Source organism: Homo sapiens, chromosome 3 (assembly GCF_000001405.40).
Source record: "Homo sapiens chromosome 3, GRCh38.p14 Primary Assembly".
Taxonomy (NCBI): domain Eukaryota; kingdom Metazoa; phylum Chordata; class Mammalia; order Primates; family Hominidae; genus Homo; species Homo sapiens.
Genome location: NC_000003.12, coordinates 38,155,681 through 38,176,817, shown reverse-complemented (window position 1 = coordinate 38,176,817; position 21,137 = coordinate 38,155,681). Strand labels below are relative to the sequence as shown.

Below are 21,137 nucleotides of genomic sequence, written 5' to 3'. Positions count from 1 at the left end.
TAACAATACACCAAACATATGTATTATCAATCATAATTGTTTAGATACTAAAGTATCTTTCTTTCACTCAAAGATTCATTCACTTAATGAACAAATCTTCTCATGAGCAAGATATTATGCTCTGGTGTGATTTAACAAATGGTCAAATGACAAGATGCTAATGTTTCCCACACCCATTGATAAAAAGGGATTTGCAGGCTCCAGTTCTTCTATGCTAACAGTCACTTTCATCCATCTTCATATTATCTTCCCAAAACAAATGTCAAAATAATCTTCAGCAATTGAAAAGTATTTTAAGGTTCTAACATAGAAGATTATGGTAATGCGGTAAAAACTCACTACTTTTAACAGTAATTCAGAATAATCAATGACGTTCTCTCATTAGAAAAAAATTTACTTCACAGAAAATAGCAATTAATAATGTAAATACGATATGGAAGAATATCTAAAAGTTTTATCATAATTATTTTAACTATTCACCAATATTTTGCAATAATCTAATAATACAGAAGGATTAGAGATACAAATAAAAAATATTTCATCTCTTCTTCAAAGCAGGGTTCCTTAATACAGTTGTTTAACCATTTACTGGGTTTACCATCATTCTTCTTGATGTAAATAGGATCAAATAGAAAATATCAGTATACACTGCACATAACAAAAACAAAAGTTATTTGTAAAACTGTTACTTCAGTATAAATATTCATACATACGGGTAAAAGGTATCTGTTAGGAATGGTTTAGTCTGCTATAATAGGATGTTTTAGAAAAAAAAAATTTTTTAAAGAACAAAAGGAATGGTTTAGTCAAAGTGTGATAGCTACTTCCCTAATGCCCTCGACTAAGCATTGGCCTAATCTGAATACCAACACCATGGAAAATTTAAAACAATTTGCAATAAAACATCCTAATTCAGCCTTTCACTACTTCACATTGGCACGCCTCCTCAATGCCCCATCCTACATCCTCACTTCTTCCACTCTTCTTCTGTCCTCTCCTAGTTAGTTCTTTAACTGCAACCAACGTTAGCCTACGTCACACAGCAGAATAAATTAATGTGCAGAAAATATGGATGAAACTTCTCCTTAAATCTTTCAAACTGGGTAACTCTACTTCTTGAGACAGAGAAGGATCTGCCCAAGCATGAGCAGGACTAAGAAAAAATTTCAGTTTCTCTCCGCTTTACTAAACTTAGAAATTTAAGAGAGAGAACGTAGGGCCGGGCATTGTGGCTCCCACCTGTAGTCTCAGCACTTTGGGAGGCCAAGGCAGGCAGATCACTTGAGCTGACAAGTTTGAGACCAGCCTGGCCAACACAGTAAAACCCCGTCTCTACAAAAAAATACAAAAATTAGCCGGGTGTGGTGGCACACGCCTGTAGTCCCAGCTACTTGGGAGGCTAAGGTGGGAGGATGGCTTGAACCTGGGAGGCAGAGGTGAGCCATGATCATACTGCTGCACTCCAGCCTGGGCAACAGAGCGAGACCCCACCTCAAAAATAAATTTTTTAAAAAAGAGAGAGATAATGTAAAAGTAGATATTCCTGTCAGGAAAAAATGAATTAAATGAATCAAATCAAATGAACACATTTTCTCCTAAATTGTGCCCAGCCATCACTATAATAGGCTTATAGTCTAAAGATTTTAAAGTATATTTTAGTAAGGTTTTGCATTCACTGAAGAAAAGCACTAGCCCAGGCTGTTTTGAAAGATGACTAAAGTATTGTCACCTGAACCACACAAAACATAAGAATTTACAATTTTGTTAACCCCTTTTCTAAATAAGGTCTCTTGTCAGAGTCATGTTGAAAATTAACTGGCAAAACATCTGTAAGAATAGTCATCATCATAAAAATCATGCTATTCTCTCCATACAAAGATGAAAATAAAGACACTGCCATATGCTTCAAGTAAGTATTCAAGCAGCCTGATGGTTTTGCAATGAATCATCACTCGCTCTCCTGTTCACTCTGGTGATCTCCCATCTGAGCGGATGGCAACTCCATTCTTCCAGATGCTCTAGCCAAAAATCTTGGAATCATCTTATCTTCCCTTTCTCTCACATCTAATCCAACAGCAAATCCTCCTAACTTCAAAAAATATGCTATATCCAGAATCTGACCACTTCTCACCATCTCCACTACTACTTCTCTCCCCTGGATAACCTCCTTCCACCCTTGTGCCCTTATAAAACTATTCTTCATATTGCAGCCTGAGGTGTTTGTTTGTTTGTTTTTGAGACAGTGTCTCATTCTGTCACCCAGGCTGGAGTGCAGTGGCGCCATCTCGGCTCACTGCAACCTCTGTCACTCGGGTTCAAGCGATTCTCATGCCTCAACCTCCCGAGTAGCTGGGATTACAGACATGCACCACCAAACCCAGCTAATTTTTGTATTTTTAGTAGAGATGGGGTTTCACCGTGTTGGCCAGGCTGGTCTCAAACTCCTGGCCTCATGTGATCCACCTGCCTCCGCCTCCCAAAGTGCTGGGATTACAGGTGAGGCACCTCGCCCAGCCTGCAGCCTGAGTTTTAAAACGAAAGTCAGGTCACGTTAAATCTCTGTTCAAAACCCTGCAATGATTTTCAGTCTTACTCAAAGCAAAAGCCAAGTTCCTACAACAACTTACAACCTGACAATCAGGACCAAGCATCCATACCACCTTACCTTTCTAACCTCTTCACCTATCTGTCTCTTCACCTTCTGATTTACTCTGCTCTAGCTGCCCTCAAACCTCCTTAGCATTCCTTAATCACATTAGCATGCTTCTGCTTCAGAACCTTTGTTCTTGTTGTCCTCTGCTTGGAACAAACTTCCTGCAGATAACCACATCATTCACTTCTTCACCTTCTTCAGGTCTTTCCTCAACTGTCATCTTCTCAGTGAGGTTTTCCCTGACCTAAAACTGAAACCCCACCTCCACCCCTAGCAGTCCCTAACCCCTTTCCCTGCTTTTTCTTCTTTAGAGTTTCTAGATTATAAACTCTGTGAAAGCAGGCATTTTTTGTGTTTGCTTCATTGTTTTATCTCCAGCATCCAGAACAGTGCCTGGCACATAACAGGAGTTCAAGAAATATTTGCTGAATGAATTAATCACATAGTGGGGTATATTTTCAAGGAAAAAAAATCTTGTTTGGGGCAGAACACACACAGAAATAGCCCAGTCTTCATGGGTGTTATTTCATCGTTACCATCATGTACATTAACATTCACTGAGCATCCATTCTGTGTGCCAAGTCTATGCTGAGCACTTTCTTTACTTACATTTCTTCTTTTCATCTAATCATTACAATAATTCCATGTGATAGGTATTCATGGTCTTACAAGACAATGTAAGTAAAGCAATGTAATTAAGGTAAAACTTAGGTCATACAGTTAGTTAGGCAGAGTAGGGCCTAGAAATAAGAACTACCTGAGTTTCAACATTATGCTCTTAATCAGTAGGCAACTACCTCTTCAGATTAAAGCTAACATTTATTAACTGATTACTATGCATCAGGTTAAATTATTTACTTGCAATACCCTATTTGACTATTTTCATTTTAAAAAAAAATGAGGCCAATATTCTTAGTTGCTTAGCAAACATACAATTTCCCCTTCTTTAGTAAGATAATCCTGACCTATTTTGTTTGAAGTAATAATGTGTCCAGCTAAAGCTTCATTTTGCAGTCTGCCTTGCAAATGACCAAATTATACAGTTCTGGCCAGTAAAATAGAAGTGGAAGTCACTGAGTAAGGCATCTAGGAAAGAAAGCCTTTTAAAAGAGAACCAACTCAGCTGTCATGTGTCTTTGTCCTTTTGCCATATTCTTCTGGACAAGAACACAAGCATGAGTCTAGAGGTGGAACAACCATCTTCCAACTATGAGAAGGAGAGTCACCTGCTAAGTGTGGTCGCATGAAAAAACTAGGAGCCTGGGTGCCTGACAGCACCTAGGCTGCCACCTCCAGTCTTCTTGTTATATAAGGGGGAAAAAGGATTTTATTAAGCCACTATTATTTCCATTTTCCCCACATGCAGAGAAATGTAAGCCTTATTTGATACAACACTATGAGGTTGTTGGCCCAATGCTGGCCTCATAGAAAATGTCACCTTAGCTGAGTCTCCCAATCAATGGAAAAATACACTATTAAGCACCACTCTATTGAAAGCACGAAGTCCTTCACATTTATGGAGGCGCTAAAGGTAAGGCCCTGGAATCTGTATTTGAAAACCACAACTTTAAACTCAAAATGTGTGGCTAGTAAACAATCAATGAAAATAAAAAGAAGGGAAAGTCAAGAATAGAAATATATTGCACTGCCTTCAAAGTGTCAAAGCTAGGTGAATCACACCTTAAACCTAGTATTAAGTTTTCAATTTTCTAGTCTGAGGTAAATAGTAAATACTTATTGAGACTTTTCAAGATGCAGGGCAATAAAACCTAACTGGCACAGCCCTCTCTGCCATCATATTGTATTATTAGCAATATCATGGTGATGGTCCTTACAGTTATACTACGATGTCCAACATAAATCCCTAAATCCATCTAAACCTGAATGAGGCCTGGACTAAGAAAAAAAAAGATGCGAAAATAAAATAAATGCAATAATGTTCCACTAAGCATTAAAAACAGATTCAAACTATTTTAAGTGTCACAAGCTTTCACATCACATAGTATTTCATATTTCATGGCAATACCAAAAATTGGGAAATATGAGGACAAGGGGAAGGGTAAAAAAAAGTCAGAGATAATAACAACTATCATTTTATACAAGCTAAACACTTCCCACAAATAATTACACTCAATCTATATAACGGCCCCAGTGACATAGGTACTATTCTCCCCACTATACAGACAAAAAGCTGACACGGAAACTAATCATATAATTTGTCTAAGATCACATAACTAGTAAGAGGCAATGTCAGGATTTGAATCTGGGTCAGTCTAACCCCAAAGCCCAAATTTTTACAGCTGCTTCAACACATGCCAAATACAGTATAACACATGCTCAGAAATTCTAATCTAAGACTAAGGGCTCAAAAATACTGAAAGATCAATGATTAATTGTGAGAATGATACTAACATCTTTTACACATAATCATACTTAAAGAACTTCAAATCTTGCCAAAGCATGCTTAAGGTGATACAATTCTTTAAAAAAAAAAAAAAGTCCTTTGAATTTTCAATCTATAGGCTTTTAATATGTTCCTAAGAGGAGATTCTGTTCTCTGTAGGATTTTACCAGAAAGACGAAGAACAAAACAGAATGTGAGAAACAATCCCATAAATAGTATACTGCTGAGAAGCAAATGTGAAAAAAATTACAGTTCAAATAAACATGTTACAGTTCAAATAAATGTACGTGTTTTGATGGAGATGACACCATTACACTGATTTCTCTAGAATACAATCCTTTGAAAACAAAATTTAAATGATCCCAAACCCTTTTTTCTAGATTTTAATCATGTGTTTCCTGAAAAAGTTGAGTGTAATCTGAAATCATAAAGATTCATTTTGAAGACTATAGCTTATTATAAAATACTATGTAACAAACATTTTGGTATGGAAGCAAAGTTAGAATAAGAATACAATGCTTTACTGAAACTTGCTACTTATACTAGGCTGTAGCTCAAAGAAAAAAAATTTTTTTTCTCCCTGTTGGGAAAATGGAGAGAGGCTGTCAGGAGCAGACTGGAAGGACGTGACAGGTGTGGAACATCCATCAGATTTTTTTCACTCTAAGGATAGATACTTCCCTTGGCCAGGCACAGTGCTTCATACCTGTAAACCCCAACACTTTAGGAGGCTAAGGTGGGAGGATCACTTGAGCCCAGAAGTAGAGACCAGCCTGGACAACATATGAGACCCTGTCTCTACAAAAAAATAAAACAATGAGGCGGGCATGGTGGCACATGCCTGTAGTCCAGCTACTGGGGAGGACGAGGCAAGAGGATCACTCGAGCCAGGAGTTCATACAGTGAGACAGTGAGCTGTGATTACATTCCAGCCTGGGTGACAGAGTGAGACCCTTCTCAGAAAAAAGCAGGGGAGATCATTCCCTTAATCTGTGAGACAATGACCCCCATCTTCCAGTTTATATCCAAGAACGAATCAATGTAGATACAGGAACAAGGATCCCGAATTAGGCTACAGGAGACACAGATGCCAGTATTGGCTCTGCCTCTAATTAGCTACATGGCTTTAAGCAGTCATGTTACCTTTCTGTCTCTGTGTCTTCAACTGTAAAACAAGGTGGTTCACCTTACTTCACACCATACACAAAAATTAACTCAGTATGTATCAGAGGCTTAAATGCAAGAGCTAAAACTAACACTTAAAAAAAAACAGGAAAAAAAAATCTTCACAATGTTGGGTTAGTAAAGATTTCTTAGATACAACACCAAAAGCAAAATCAATAAAAGAAAAAAATGATAAACATCAAAATTCAAAACTTTTGTACTTTAAAAGACTCCATTAAGAAAATGAAAGAGGCCAGGCGCGGGGGCTCACACCTGTAACCCCAACACTTTGGGAGGCCGAGGCAGGCAGATCATCTGAGGTAAGGAGTTCGAGACCAGCCTGGCCAACATGGTGAAACCCAGTCTCTACTAAAAATACAAAAACTTAGCCTGGTGTGGTGGCACGCATGTGTAATCCCACCTACTTGGGAGGCTGAGACAGGAGAATTGCTTGAACCCAGGAAGCGGAGGTTGCAGTGAGCCAAGATCATGCCACTGCACTCCAGCCTGGGCGACAGAGTAAGACTCCAACTCAAAAAAAAATAATAATAATAAAATTAAAGAAGGCTAAGCGCAGTGGCTCACGCCTGTAATCCTAGCACTCTGGAAGGCTGAGGCAGGCAGATCGCTTGAGCGATCAGGAATTTGAGACCATCCTGGGAAATGTGGCGAAACCCAGTTTCTACAAAAAACACAAAAATTAGCCAAACGTGGTGGCATGTACCTGTAGTCCCAGCTACCTGGGAGGCAGGGGTGGGAGGATCACTTGAGCCCAGGAGGTGGAGTGAGCCCTGATCATGACACTGCACTCCACCCTAGGTGACAGAGTAAGACTGTCTCAAAAAAAAAGAAAGAAAATGAGAAGAAAAAAAAAACTACAGACAGGAAAATATTTAAATTAAATCATATATCAGATGAACGACGCATACCCAGAATGAATACACATACAAACACACATACACACACTTCTATAACTCAAAAAAAAAACGAACAGCCAGGCGCAGTGGCTCACCCCTGTAATCCCAGCACTTTGGGAGGCCAAGCAGGCGGATCACCTGAGGTCAGGAGTTTGAGACCAGCCTGCCCAATATGGTGAAACCCCATCATTACTAAAAACACAAAAATTAGCTGGGCATGGTGGCAGGCACCTATAACCCCAGCTACTCAGGAGGCTGAGGCAGGAGAGTTGCTTGAACTCAAGAGACAGAGGTTGCAGTGAGCCGAGATGGCACCACTGCACCCCAGCCTGGGCAACAGAGCAAGACTCCATCTCAAAACAAACAAACAAACAAAAAAAAAAACAACCCAATGGGCAGTCCAAGTGGACAAAAGATTTGAATAGATATTTCACCAAAGAAGATCCATGAAAGTCTAATAAATAAGGACATGAAAGGATGTTCATCATCATTAGTCATTAGGGCAATGCAAATCAAAACCACAATGAGATACCACTTCATAGTCACTAGGATGGTTACACGCAAAAAGACAACAAATTTAGAGAAACAAGAACTCTTATAATTACTAGTAGGAACATAAAATGGTACAGTTACTTTGAAAATCAGTTTGGCAGTTTCTTAAACAGTTGAATTTGTGATATAACCCAGCAATTCCACTCCTGGGTATACATCCAAGAAAAATGAAACATATTCATGGGGTGACTTGATGTGAATACTCAAAGCAGCCTTGTTCCAAACAGCCAAAAAGCAGAAACAATCCAATGCCCATTAACTGGTATCCAATAAAAAGGAACCATGTACTACATGGCAGATGGATGAACCTCAAAAAGCATTATGGAAAGTAAAAGAAGCCAAACACAAAGGACCACATATTATATGATTACATTTACATAAAATGTCCAGAAAGGACAAATCTATAGAGACAGAAAGTATATTTGTGATTGCCTGGGGCTGGGGGTGGGAACAGGGAGTAACTGCAAATGGACATGAGGCATCTTTCTGGAATGATGGAAATGTTCTAAAATTGGATTGTGGTGATGACTGAACAATTATGTAAATTTACTAAAAGATTATTGAATTGTACATTTTAATCAGGTAAATCTTATGGTACGTAAATTATATCTCAAAATTGTTTTTTTAAATGAAAAAATATTTATGCTAAGTGGAAGAAACCAAACATGAAAGACCACATGTTATATGATCCCATTTATATAAATGTCCAAAAAAGGCAAGTCCATAGAGACAAAAAGTAGATTTGTGGTTGTCTAAGGCTGGAGGTGGAAAAAGGGATTAACTCGTAAGAAAGCACAAGAGATCTCACGGGGATGATGGAAATATTCTAAAACTGGATTATGGTGATAGTTGTACGACACAGGGAATTTACTAAAAACCACTAAATGTTACACTTAAAATGGGTGAATTTTATATTAAATTATACCTCAGTAAAGTTGTTTTAAATCTATGAAAGATGGTCAAATCACATTGGAGTTCCTAACCTTTTAAAAACCATGGACCACTTTGTGAATGTGAGGAACACTAACCCTATCCAGAAGACTGAGAGACTCCCTTTTGCCCACTCACAGACATCCTATGGGTCTGAGGACACCAAATTAACAAATCACGAAATCTCTAGCGCCTTTGCAACTCTGAAATTCTCTGCCACCTTAACAGCAAAGGCTTTGAGAATGACTACAACCATCCTCTTCACCCTAGAAAGATGGATACACTACCAGAAAAAAAAAAAAAAAACTCTTCTTTTAAAATGATGATAGGGAACCTCCTCTTTACTTCTCTGACATCATTTTGGAATCTTCCATTTAATCCTTTCCTTCAATATGAAACTCTGACTGGGGGAACCAGAAGCAATCAGTCCAGACCGGGAACTAGCTGTCTTTAGAACCAACGAATACATGTCAAAGACCCAATATGTAGCAAGGACACAGGCCCATGAAGTGGCTTAAGCAAAGATGTGATGTCTTTATTTAGTCCGAGTTGTTTTGTTTTGTTTTTGTTTTTCCTATACGAACCAATATTGCTTTAAGCCCAGATTGTCTTAAAACAAGAGGCAAGTAAAAACAAAAATTATTTCACGAAGTTCTTTTTAAACCCACAGTGAAATAAACACTGACACCCCCAAGGCAGCTAGGAAGTCTTCAGTTGGTCTTTGTTATAAAACTAATTTTAGGGCAGGATGCTGGCAAAGCAGATAATTCGCCTTCCTCCAATACACAGGTGTCTGCTCATGTCCGTTGGATTGAGCCTGTATAGCTAAACATTTTGATTTCCAAGGTCACTGGGTTATTGTTGTCCAACAAATACTCCCCTCATCCCCAGTCCCCAGCCTCCTCCCAATCCCTAGGCTTCTGTGAGAATTACAATCTATGTGCAAGTTTTGGTCTCTGCCAACTGGTATTCCTGGACCCCCTTCAAATCTTTTCACACACCAGCCCAATTTATCGGATCACGTCAAGGCACTATTTGAGGGCCTCCAGTGATACTTAAAATTCCAAAATCTGTACCAAAGCTGAGAAGATCCCTAAGATCTGGCTCCTCCCTTCCCTCTCTATCCTTGCCAGCCTTCCTTCAGGTCCTAAAACAAATCAAGCTCTTCCCTTACTCAAGGCCACTGCATCTCTATATCCCTCTGTAAGGAAAAATCTTCCCGAGGCTCTTAATCCTCACTTCTCATGCTTCAGGGCTCAACTGAAATGTTATCGCCTCAGAAAAAGAATTTTCCTTGAAATCACCCTAAGTAGATCTCCAGGTTATTCTCTATCAGAACATCTTGTTTATCTCCTTCATGGCACTTGCCAAAGCCTCTTCAAATTTTTTTTTTTTTTTTTTTTTTTTTGAGTCAGAGTCAGGGTTTGTCGCCCAGGCTGGAGTGCAGTGGCGCGATCTCAGCTCACTGCAAGCTCCGCCTCCCGGGTTCAAGGATTCTTCTGCCTCAGCCTCCCGAGTAGCTGGGATTACAGGCGCGCACCACCACACCCAACTAATTTTTGTATTTTTAGTAGAGACGGGGTTTCACCATATTGGCCAGGCTGGTCTCGAACCCCCGACCTCGTGATCCGCCCGCCTCGGCCTCCCAAAGTGGTGGGATTACAGGCGTGAGCCACCACGCCCAGCCCTTCTTACTTCTTTTTGTCTTCTTATTTAATGTCTACCTCCCCGACTGGAAAGTCAGTTGGAAGGAGTCGTAAGTTGGGTCTCGGTTGCTCAGCGCGGTTCCTGCAGCTTCACCTGGAGGATCCCCAGTTCGCCCCAGCACGGATGGAGGAAAAACTTAAAGCTCCCTATCTATCCCACAATCCCAGAAATCGATGGCTGTGCCCACTTCAAGATCCCATTTCTCACACAGCCTCGGAAAGGCCTGTCCCACACCTGCACTTTCTTTCTCTACAAGACACATGGGCCGCTCCTGTCCACACATTTGAGAATCCTGTACACAAATCTCTCCTGAGCCCCCTCAAGCCTCACCCCACCCCACGCCACCTCACAGGCGCGCGCCTCAAAACCCCCTTCCCGTCTCACACGCGCTCCTCGACACAAGCGTCCTACAAGCCCCCAGCCCCACAAGCGCCCCACGAATTCCTATGAGGGCTGCGCTCCCCGAGCTCCCGCGGCTCCCCACGTTCCCGTGTCCCCCGCCTCCCAGCGCCGCGCCTCCCCCCTCCGCAGCGCCTGCTCTCACCGATCACCTCCTGCAGCTCGTAATCGTCCCTGTTGATGGACCAGGGCAGGGCGCTCGAGTCCTCGGACATGACGGCGGCAGCGGCTCGCGGTCCTCCCTCAAACTCGCTGACCTCGCTCGTCTCCTCGCCGCGCGTCTCCCCACCCCCAACAGCCGCCGCCGCCGCCGCCGCGCCCCCACCAATCGTCTCGGAACAGCCACGGGTCGGACGGCGCCGGGGCGCGGGGTCACCGCGCGGCAGAGCAGCGGGGGCTCAGAGCTCCGGCGGACCTCGCCTCCTGCTCCTCCGAGTCCGGCACTGCCCGGCCCAGCCCACGTCCTGTCCTCGGCCTCCGCAGCAGCAGCGACAGAAGCTTTGCCTGGGCCCAGCCCCTCTGTCCCGCCCTCCACCCCAGCCCCACGCACGGGCCAAACTTTCCCCTCTTCCTCCACCTGCCGACACGCAGCGCGCTGACGTCACTGCGCTGGTCACGCCCCACCTCGGGCCCGCCTCCGGCCGCCATCTCCAGTGTGGCTGGATGTAAAGTGAGCAAGCTAGAAACCCGAGAAGGTAGGAGTTCGCGGTGAAAGGGAAGAAGTGCTTAGGTAGAGGTTCATCGAAGGCATCGAAAAGCCGTAGGAGAGCCTCAAGTAGCACAGAGGCAGTAGCCACACTAAGCATGGCGACCAAAGGGCAGCAAAGTAGAAGGGGCAGAGCCACTTCTAGCGCCTGGGGCACGCTGCTGTCTCCGTCGTCGCATTCATTGGTTTGTTTGAGAAGGAATCAGAAAAGCAATGGGTGTGGGTAGACGTCAGTCATAAATTGGTCCCGCCTCCAGGCTCTTAGCGCGCTTCTCCGTGTTAGGGCTGCAGCCCTTCAAGAGCTCCGTTACCGCGCTCGTCTTACCACTTCCTCTGGAGTGACGTCACGGCGTAACCGTCACACCCTCGAGACGTGCGAAAGGCTCTACAGGGTGTGGAGAAACCCTGAGGGAGCGGCTGGGTGGGGTAGCCTTTGGGTGTGGACCACTGCCAACTAGGATAAAAGGCCTTGGGCCACTGGTCGGAGTGAAACTGGAAGTTTGCCTGGTGACATTTTTTTCAAGGCGGACGTTCTCTCTAACGCTTGTCGCGGCGCTGTCTCTCGCGGGTCCACCCTGCACTGGGCGGGTTCTGTCCATTCGCAGCTTTAGATCTGAAGCTCAAATAAGCACCTGCCTTGAGGGACTCGGGAGGTTGTCTTTCTTCCCCCCGGACAGGGCTTGGGGTATTAAACAAGTGAGATCGACCCACGGATTTGGGGGTTGTCTCACGGGCGTTGGCTTTTGTCGCCCCCACTGAACAGTTTTCTCAGTTTGACTACGTACGGCCGTTAGAGAAATTAGCGAGCTGAAGACTGAACACGCTTGGTAAATTGGATTTTAAAAAATAATGAGCATCCAACAGGGATAGGGCTAGGTGCGAAACTGTTCTAGGTTGGACACCTTTCAGTCCAACGGCAGTCTTTAAGGAAGAGACCTTAGGCCGGGTGCGGTGGCTCACGCCTGTAATCCCAACACTTTGGGAGGCGGAGGCGGGCGGACCACCTGAGGTCAGGAGTTCGAGACCATCCTGACCAACATGGTGAAACTCCCTCTCTACTAAAATACAGAAAAATCGCTGGGCGTGGTGGCTGGCGCCTGTAATCCCAGCTACTAGGGAGGCTGAAGCAGGAGGCGAAGGTTGCAGTGACCCGAGAGCATGCCACTGCACTCCAGTCTGGGCAACAGACGGAGACACCGTCTCAGAAAAAGGAAGAGACCTTCACCTAGGCCCAGCTGAGACGGAGCAGGGACCCCTTTTAGGGCCTGCAGGCCCTCAACCATGGAAATAAAGGAAAATCTTGAGTTACTTCAAGAGAAATTCCCGGCACTTAGCTAGCCTTGAAAAGTTAATGAACCCCTTGATAAGCAAGAGGGCAGTAATAACTTTAAACATTAGCCAAAGAAACTAAAATAACTGGATGTTTGGTTCCCTATAAAAACTAAAGATAACATCAACACATGTCCCTGAGTTGTTTTTTAGAAACCCAGACCCCCACCAAATGGATCTGCTGGCACATAGACCTCAGAGAATGGGGAGCTAAGGACTGAACTCTGACTGGTGGTTTGTTTTTTCTCTAAGTTTCTTCTTCCTGAAGAAGGTCATGCCCACAAGCTGTAGCTAACATTCTTTTCTACTGATCCGAAATTTTTAGACAAAGCTTCACCTCTTTTATCAATCGCAAATCAGAAAATCTTTGAATCCACCTATGACCTGTGGGCTCCTGCTTGGAGATGTCCCCCCTTTTTAGGTCAAACCAATGTATAACCTCTGTGTATTGATTTATGACTTTACCTGTAACTTCTTCTTTTCCGAAATTACCCCTATCTTTAAGAATGCTTGGCTGGGCGCGGTGGCTCACGCCAGGAAGTTTAGGTCCCCAGTATGTATTTCATAAGTTTATGAAATATGTATTATATATAATGTATATTTATATATATATTAAGCTTGAGCTACACTAATTCTCCCCTCTTGCTAGGCGCCCTGCCTTTCTACTGCAGCAAAACCTCCGTGTGGCAATCTAATGTCACTGCACTGGGCAAGTAGACCTTAGTTTGGTTCTAAAACACCGCCAAGCACTGGAAGCTCTGCGCTGAGCTCTGCTGTGGGAGGTCCAACTGACCATGAAACCAGTCAACTAGAAGCTACTAGCGGGTTTCCACCTAGTTGGTTGGATTGGAGAACGTTTCATGAAGAAGGTAGCATTTGTACCAGATCTTGCAAAGTTAACATGATTTCAACAGGTGCACATTTAGAGGATAGAATAGTCCAGGCTCAGCAAAGGTGCCGCAGTTCCAGAAAGCATAGCACAGGCCTTGCTGTAAGTGGTTTTCAGCCATTACTACTGACAGTTTCTTTACCATATGTTCTGCCTTTTTCTTTTTGCAGGGAGGAGAGGGATGGGGATCAAATGTATCAGAAAGGAGCTAAATCTGATGGTAAGAATTAGCCTCAAGGTTTGTACCAATAGAAAGGTCTACAAACCAGAAATTCTTGGCTTGGGGTTGTTGAGTTGTATGACCCATGGACATACTTCAGTTTTGTTTTTGTTTTGTTTTGTTTTATTTTGTTTTGTTTTTTTCTCCCTGGCACGGTGACTCAAACCTGCAATCCCAGCATTTTGGGAGGCCCAGGCAGGTGGATCACCTGAGGTCAGGAGTTCGAGACCAGCCTGGCCAACAGGGTAAAATCCCATCTCTACTAAAAATACAAAAATTAGCCACGCGTGGTGGCTGGCGCCTGTAATCCCAGCTACTCAGGAGGTTGAGGCAGGAGAATCGCTTGAACCCAGGAGGCAGAGGTTGTAGTGAGCCAAGATCATGCCACTGCACTCCAGCCTTAGCGACAGAGAGTGAGACTCCATCTCAAAAAAGAAAAAAAGAAATTATATATGTATTATATATGAAATATAGACAATATGTATGAAGTATATATACTATATATAAATATATATGAAATATGAAATATATAACATATATGAAACAACATGAAATCTATAATATATATGAAATATATAACATGAAATCTATAATATATATGAAATCTATAATATATATGAAATCTATAATATATGAAATATATAATATATATGAAATATATAATATATGAAATCTATAATATATGAAATATATAATATATATGAAATCTATAATATATGAAATATATAATATATATGAAATCTATAATATATGAAATATATAATATATATGAAATCTATAATATATGAAATATACATAATATATGAAATATATTATGTATATGAAATATACATAATATATGAAATATGTATATGAAATATACATAATATATGAAATATGTATATGAAATTACATAATATATGAAATATGTATATGAAATATACATAATATATGAAATATGTATATGAAATATACATAATATATGAAATATGTATATGAAATATACATAATATATGAAATATGTATATGAAATATACATAATATATGACATATGTATATGAAATATACATAATATATGACATATGTATATGAAATATACATAATATATGACATATGTATATGAAATATACATAATATATGACATATGTATATGAAATATACATAATATATGACATATGTATATGAAATATACATAATATATGACATATGTATATGAAATATACATAATATATGACATATGTATATGAAATATACATAATATATGACATATGTATATGAAATATACATAATATATGACATGTATATGAAATATACATAATATATGACATATGTATATGAAATATACATAATATATGACATATGTATATGAAATATACATAATATATGACATGTATATGAAATATACATAATATATGAACTATATTATGTAAATGAAATATACATAATATATGAACTATATTATGTAAATGAAATATACATAATATATGAACTATATTATGTAAATGAAATATACATAATATATGAACTATATTATGTAAATGAAATATGTATATGAAATATGCATTGTATATGAAATATGTATATGAAATATGCATTGTATATGAAATATGTATATGAAATATGCATTGTATATGAAATATGTATATGAAATATGCATAGTATATGAAATATGTATATGAAATATACATGAAATATACATGAAATATACATGAAATATATACATGAAATATATTATACATGAAATATACATGAAATATAACGCATGAAATACGTAATGCATATGAAATATAGGTAACGCATGAAATACGTAATGCATATGAAATACGTAATGCATATGAAATATATGTAATGCATATGCATAGTATATGAAATATACATGAAATATACATGAAATATATTATACATGAAATATACATGAAATATATGTAATGCATGAAATACGTAATGCATATGAAATATAGGTAACGCATGAAATACGTAATGCGTATGAAATACGTAATGCATATGAAATATATGTAATGCATGAAATACGTAATGCATATGAAATATATGTAATGCATGAAATACGTAATGCATGTGAAATATATAGAATGCATGAAATATGTAATGCGTGTGAAATATATAATATATGAAATAAGTAATGTGTGTGAAATATATAATATATATGAAATACGTGTGAAATATATAATATATATGAAATATATATGAAATACGTGTGAAATATATAATATATGTGAAATATATATGAAATACGTATGAAATATATAATATATGTGAAATATATATGAAATACGTATGAATATATAATATATGTGAAATATATATGAAATACGTATGAAATATATAATATATGTGAAATATATATGAAATACGTATGAAATATATAATATATGTGAAATATATATGAAATACGTATGAAATATATAATATATGTGAAATATATATGAAATACGTATGAAATATATAATATATGTGAAATATATATGAAATACGTATGAAATATATAATATATGTGAAATATATATGAAATACGTATGAAATATATAATATATGTGAAATATATATGAAATACGTATGAAATATATAATATATGTGAAATATATATGAAATACGTATGAAATATATATTATATGTGAAATATATATTATATATTAAATATATATAATATATGAAATATATATACTATATGAAATATATATTATATGTGAAATATATATTATATATATTAAATATATATAATATAAATATAATAGGATATACTTCAGGGAGAGATTTTGGCAACCTTCCTCCTTATTTCCCCTTCCCCAGTGAAAAGGAGCTACTAATCTAATAGTGAAAATTCAAGATGTTAATTGGCCCATGTTCTTGGCAGCCAGGGTCACCAATGGATTCTGTTCTGCCTCCTCCACACACATAGCTTGATGGATTAGTTGAGCCAGAACCAGCTCTGCAGATCTGCTCATTTCATTTATCCTGTCTCCTTGATTTTCTCCATGTAGCCTGATAGAGGTTAGGATCCTGTGATTTTAATGAGCAAGGAATTGGTGGCTCTTTGAGGCCAGAAATCTAAACCTCAACCTCATTCTCAGCCTATGGATTACCTTCCATGTGAAAGAGAGTATTGTCATAAACACTGAGTATACAGTGGTGACCAAAGCAGACTCAGTTTCTGTTTTCAGGGAACAGTCTGGTAGAAAACAGTAAGCAACTAAGCAAATCATGTAGGAAAAGGCAAGGATACTGTGACAGAGAATAGTTAGGAAGCCAGCCATGTGGTGAGTACAGTTGACCCTTGAACAACACAGGTTTGGACTATGGGGTCTACTCATAATAATACATGAATTTTCTCTGTTTCTGCCACCCCTGAGACAGCAAGACCAACCAGACACTCCTTTTCCTCCTTGTCCTCAGCCTACTCAACGTGAAGACAATGAGAAGCCCTTTGTGATGATCCACGTCCACCTAATGAATAGTAAATATATTTTCTCTTCCTTAGATTTTTTAAATTTTCTTTTCTGTAGCTTTATTGTAAGAATACAGTATATAATGCATATAACTACAAAATATGTGTTAATCTACTTTATGTTATCAGTAAGACTTCCAATCAACAGTAGGCTATTAGTAATTAAGTTTTGGGGTAACCAAAGTTATACATGAATTTTTGACTGTGTAGGTGGTCAGTAACCCTAATGTCCTCATTTTTCAAGGGTCAATTGTATTTTAAACAGGGTACAGTGGGGATTTGGGGCACTTTTGAAGCTTTTAATAAATGCTTTTATACCTATTATATTATGATGCTGCTTCTTGTGTATAGCTCTGTCAGTAGTCTTCAGGGGATGGGGGAAGAGGGAAGGTAGGATGATTCTGGAACCGTGGCCCTTTTATCAGAATTTCACCAAATCCTACCTAGGTTTCTTGGAAGTATGGCATATTTTCCGGAGGAGAGGGACCTTGTTTTTCCTTACATTTTCAAAGGAACTCTTGTCTTAGTTTGGATTCCCCCAACATCAGACTCTGAGACCAGGATTTGGGTACAAATAGTTTGTTTAGAAGGTGACTCCAAGAGGCAACTCCTCTTTTGAAGGAGTGGAGAAGTAAGACAGGAAAGGAAGGATAGTCATTAAGGGTGCATTAATAAGGGGTCACTGTGTGGGCAACCAGGCTTAATCCTCCTGTGAGCCATCTGGGAAACTATGGAACACTCTTCAGAATCGTCTCACTAAGAGGCAAGGAAGCTGAGCTATTATCCCACCAACTCCCTTCCTCTTTAGGGTGTTAACACTCCTGCACCTCTACCCAGCTCAGTGCTTGGAAAAGCACGCTCCTAAGGTCGGAGAATGCACTCATGCAGACACAGGCAGTCCTTCTCTTGTGTTAGAACTCTCTAATAGCAAACTCCAGAGTAGGCCCAAAGGATATGAGCTCAGTATAGACAGCATCTGCTACTGTGCGTAAACCCAAAAGTTGAGACTCACTGAACTGAGAAACGGGGAACAAAAGTATATTCATGCTTCTTCCTCTTACTTTATTACCCTTAAGCAACTTACTTGCATTGGGCTTTGCTTTTAGTGCCTGCAGAATAGAGGAAAAAAGACTGATTTCAAGACTAGTGATGTCTTGAAGTAGAGAATTACAGCTGTAACAATTCAAGTTTTATAGGCTCCTTTGATTATATTCTAAAAATTAATGTGTACTCTATGTGAGAAACCTGAATATAAAGAAAAGCACAACCTTATACCTCTGACCTGAGCTGATTTTCTCAGCAGTTTCACGTCAGTACCAGGACCAATTATAGACTGCTAGAATGTATTCCCTCCCATCTATCTCTTATCACATATCACACTTAATGTGATGGGAGGATGACAACAACCAAACCCCCTTAGGTGTGCTTTTCACTTTGTACCTGGAATAGTACCCTGCAGAGGCATGCATTCAGGCGTGGTGTTGATTAAACAGATGAAGTGTGAGAGTAGAGGAGACATGCGCAAGCTAGGAGTCTGGAGCCTGGTGAAAAACTGACAGCTTGGCAGTCCCAGGAAATGAATGTCTAAAGTGATGGACACTCAAGGCCCGCAAAAATGCATATGTATAAATGTTATTGTGGGAAAAAAAAATCTGTTCTTGCAGAAAGTACAGTCTCATCATCAAGCCGGATTCTGAGCCAGAAAGGAGCTTCAGGTTCTCCCAGGCTGGCACCATGCCAACTAGATGAGCTCAAGCTGAACTGAGCAAAAGATGGGGAATACCTGACTGGGGTGGAGCAGATTCCTAAGTGCCTGCAACATTTCAAACACTCTTAAAGGTTTAATATGTCTGAAAACCCAATTAATTAGGATGTTTATTGTGGCATTATTGTAATAGAGAAAATTTAGAAACAGCCTATTTGTTCTTTGATAGAGGACTGGTAATTGCTTGTGTCTATTATGTGGAACATCTCAGGACACATAAGACATTTTCTGTATTAGTGTAATTGATGCTAGCTGAAGCAACAACCTAAAAATCTGGATGGCTTAACGCAAAAGCTTTTTTCTCACACACATAAAGTCCAGTGCAGAGGTCTCTGGTCCCTCTCCTTCAAGAGGAGAATGAGAGATTTTGGCTGTCTCCATCTTGTGGCACCGCCATCTTCTGGGGCCTTCTTGGAGTCTTTGCTGGATCCTCTGCCTTCAGCCAGCCAGTCAGTTGAGAGACAGAACACCACAAAGTGGGCCAAGATTCAGCTGTATCTGTTATCTCTTCCCATATTGTATTGGTCAGACCAAGTCATCTGACTCCAACCTAACTCTGGGAAACTGAGAAATGGCTTCTGTGTGCTCAGGAAGAAGAAACAGATGGGATTGGTGAGCATCTAGCCAATTTCCACCACAAATGCTCATTTTGGCTGCCTCCAGGCCAAAGGTAATAACTTGTTGAGGAAAAGGAGTGGGAGGGATATATCCTTTTTTACATTTTGGATATCATAAATCCATATTACTTGTTAAAAAAAATTGCTTAATTGAGAAAGTGTGGACTGGTAAAATTATGGTTCATCCATACCATGAAACATTACACAACAGTTAGAGGAATGAAGTAGGCTGGGTGCAGTTGCTCACGCCTGTATGCCTAGCACTTTGGGAGGCCAAGGCAAGCAGATTGCTTGAGCCTAGGAATTCAAGACCAACCTGGGCAACATGGCAAAACCACGTCTGTACAAAAAATACAAATGTTAGCTGGGCATAGTGGTGTGCACCTGTGGTCCCAGCTACTTGGGAGGCTGAGATGGGAGAATCACAAGCCTGGGAGGTTCGGCTGCAGTGAGCCATGATTACACCACTGCAGTACAGCCTGGACAACAGAGTGAGACCTGTCTCAAAAAAAAAAAAAAATGAAAGAATGAAGTAGAACTGTACATACTGAAATAGGATGATCTATATTAAGGTAAACAAGCAACTTGTAAAATAAATTCAATTTCTACCTGTATGTAAATATATAGAATAAGTTCTGGAAGGTACATGGAGGTGCAACACACATTTGCTTTCTGTGTATTGTTTGAGCTCTTTATAAGGAGAAATACCAAATAATACAACGTGGCTTAAATTGCTGAAAGCAATTCTCCAAGATTGATTCCACAGAAATATTTTGGGAGCCCATAAACATAAACTTCAGCTGCGTTAATCAGGAAAATGCAAACTAAAACTAACGTGATATAACTTGACCCTTCACCAATAGGTAAAAACTAAAAAGCCAGAGAATACTAAATGTTGGCCAAGATGAGGAAAACAGAAACTCTCATCCTCTGCTAGTTGGAATGAAAATTGATGCAACGTCCCTGGAAAACAGTTTGGTATTACCTAGCAAAGTAGAACCTGTGCCTCCCCTACAACCCAGCAATTCCACTCCTGGTATACAATCAAAATAAACTTTTGTACTTGTATCCCAAATAATATATACTAGAATACCTACATCAGCAGGTTTTGTAATGGCTAAGTAAAGGAAATCACCCAAATAGAGTGTAAAAGTATTCATACAATGGACACTATACAGCAGCAGAATCTACCTACAGCTATATAGATGAATCCCAAAACAGGCCGGGCACAGTGGCTCACACCTGTAATCCCACCACTTTGGGAGGCTGAGATGGGCAGATCACCTGAGGTCAGGAGTTCAAGATCAGCCTGGCCAACATGGTGAAACCCTGACTGTACTAAAAATACAAAAATAAGCCAGACGAGGTGGCAGGCGCCTGTAATCCCAGCTACTAGGGAGGCTGAGGCAGGAAAATCGCTTGAACCCAGGAGACAGAGGTTGC

The 21,137-nt window shown here is 39.9% G+C and overlaps 1 protein-coding gene and 1 long non-coding RNA gene across 14 annotated transcripts in view, besides 8 other annotated features; one reads left to right on the top strand and one right to left on the bottom strand.

Moving 5' to 3' along the window:
• The window catches only part of OXSR1 (oxidative stress responsive kinase 1), a 91,422-nt gene extending 78,667 nt beyond the window's left edge, over nt 1-12,755 (bottom strand). For 4 of the 6 annotated variants that reach the window (XR_007095781.1, XM_011534331.3, XM_017007601.2 and 1 more), the window contains exon 1: nt 11,304-12,755. Coding sequence is in view for 5 of the 6 variants with exons in the window: in XM_011534331.3 (XP_011532633.1) it covers nt 11,304-11,532 (229 nt within the window). In the remaining variant the exon portion in view is untranslated. Of the gene's footprint in view, nt 1-10,871; nt 11,282-11,303 lie in introns of those variants that run through there. The other 2 variants (NM_005109.3, XM_047449386.1) reach the window with 1 other exon arrangement.
• Nucleotides 10,508-11,123: an enhancer, noted in NCBI's record as "NANOG-H3K27ac-H3K4me1 hESC enhancer chr3:38207186-38207801 (GRCh37/hg19 assembly coordinates)". NCBI's record gives its function as "activates a minimal SCP1, AML or CMV promoter by ChIP-STARR-seq in naive H9 embryonic stem cells {active_cell/tissue: H9 hESC(naive)}" and the evidence as "EXISTENCE:reporter gene assay evidence [ECO:0000049][PMID:30033119]".
• Nucleotides 10,508-11,276: a biological region, named in NCBI's record as "NANOG-H3K27ac-H3K4me1 hESC enhancer GRCh37_chr3:38207186-38207801".
• Nucleotides 10,787-10,836: a silencer, noted in NCBI's record as "silent region_14206". NCBI's record gives its function as "represses an Ori minimal core promoter by ATAC-STARR-seq in GM12878 lymphoblastoid cells {active_cell/tissue: GM12878}" and the evidence as "EXISTENCE:reporter gene assay evidence [ECO:0000049][PMID:35858748]".
• Nucleotides 10,887-11,276: a silencer, noted in NCBI's record as "silent region_14205". NCBI's record gives its function as "represses an Ori minimal core promoter by ATAC-STARR-seq in GM12878 lymphoblastoid cells {active_cell/tissue: GM12878}" and the evidence as "EXISTENCE:reporter gene assay evidence [ECO:0000049][PMID:35858748]".
• Nucleotides 11,342-20,769, top strand: LOC101928234 (uncharacterized). 8 transcript variants are annotated; one of them, XR_940733.2, is made up of 5 exons: nt 11,342-11,421; nt 13,821-13,870; nt 17,261-17,321; nt 19,668-19,747; nt 20,558-20,769. It is a non-coding gene; the product is annotated as an uncharacterized LOC101928234 (long non-coding RNA). The 8 variants fall into 8 exon arrangements; XR_245208.4 differs by having other exon boundaries at nt 19,607-19,747; XR_940731.2 differs by having other exon boundaries at nt 17,222-17,321.
• Nucleotides 11,407-12,606: an enhancer, noted in NCBI's record as "CDK7 strongly-dependent group 2 enhancer chr3:38205703-38206902 (GRCh37/hg19 assembly coordinates)". NCBI's record gives its function as "activates an origin of replication core promoter dependent on BRD2, BRD4, P300/CBP, MED14 and CDK7 cofactors, with strong dependence on CDK7, by STARR-seq in HCT116 cells {active_cell/tissue: HCT116}" and the evidence as "EXISTENCE:reporter gene assay evidence [ECO:0000049][PMID:35650434]".
• Nucleotides 11,517-11,616: an enhancer, noted in NCBI's record as "active region_19684". NCBI's record gives its function as "activates an Ori minimal core promoter by ATAC-STARR-seq in GM12878 lymphoblastoid cells {active_cell/tissue: GM12878}" and the evidence as "EXISTENCE:reporter gene assay evidence [ECO:0000049][PMID:35858748]".
• Nucleotides 11,887-12,016: an enhancer, noted in NCBI's record as "active region_19683". NCBI's record gives its function as "activates an Ori minimal core promoter by ATAC-STARR-seq in GM12878 lymphoblastoid cells {active_cell/tissue: GM12878}" and the evidence as "EXISTENCE:reporter gene assay evidence [ECO:0000049][PMID:35858748]".
• Nucleotides 12,167-12,246: an enhancer, noted in NCBI's record as "active region_19682". NCBI's record gives its function as "activates an Ori minimal core promoter by ATAC-STARR-seq in GM12878 lymphoblastoid cells {active_cell/tissue: GM12878}" and the evidence as "EXISTENCE:reporter gene assay evidence [ECO:0000049][PMID:35858748]".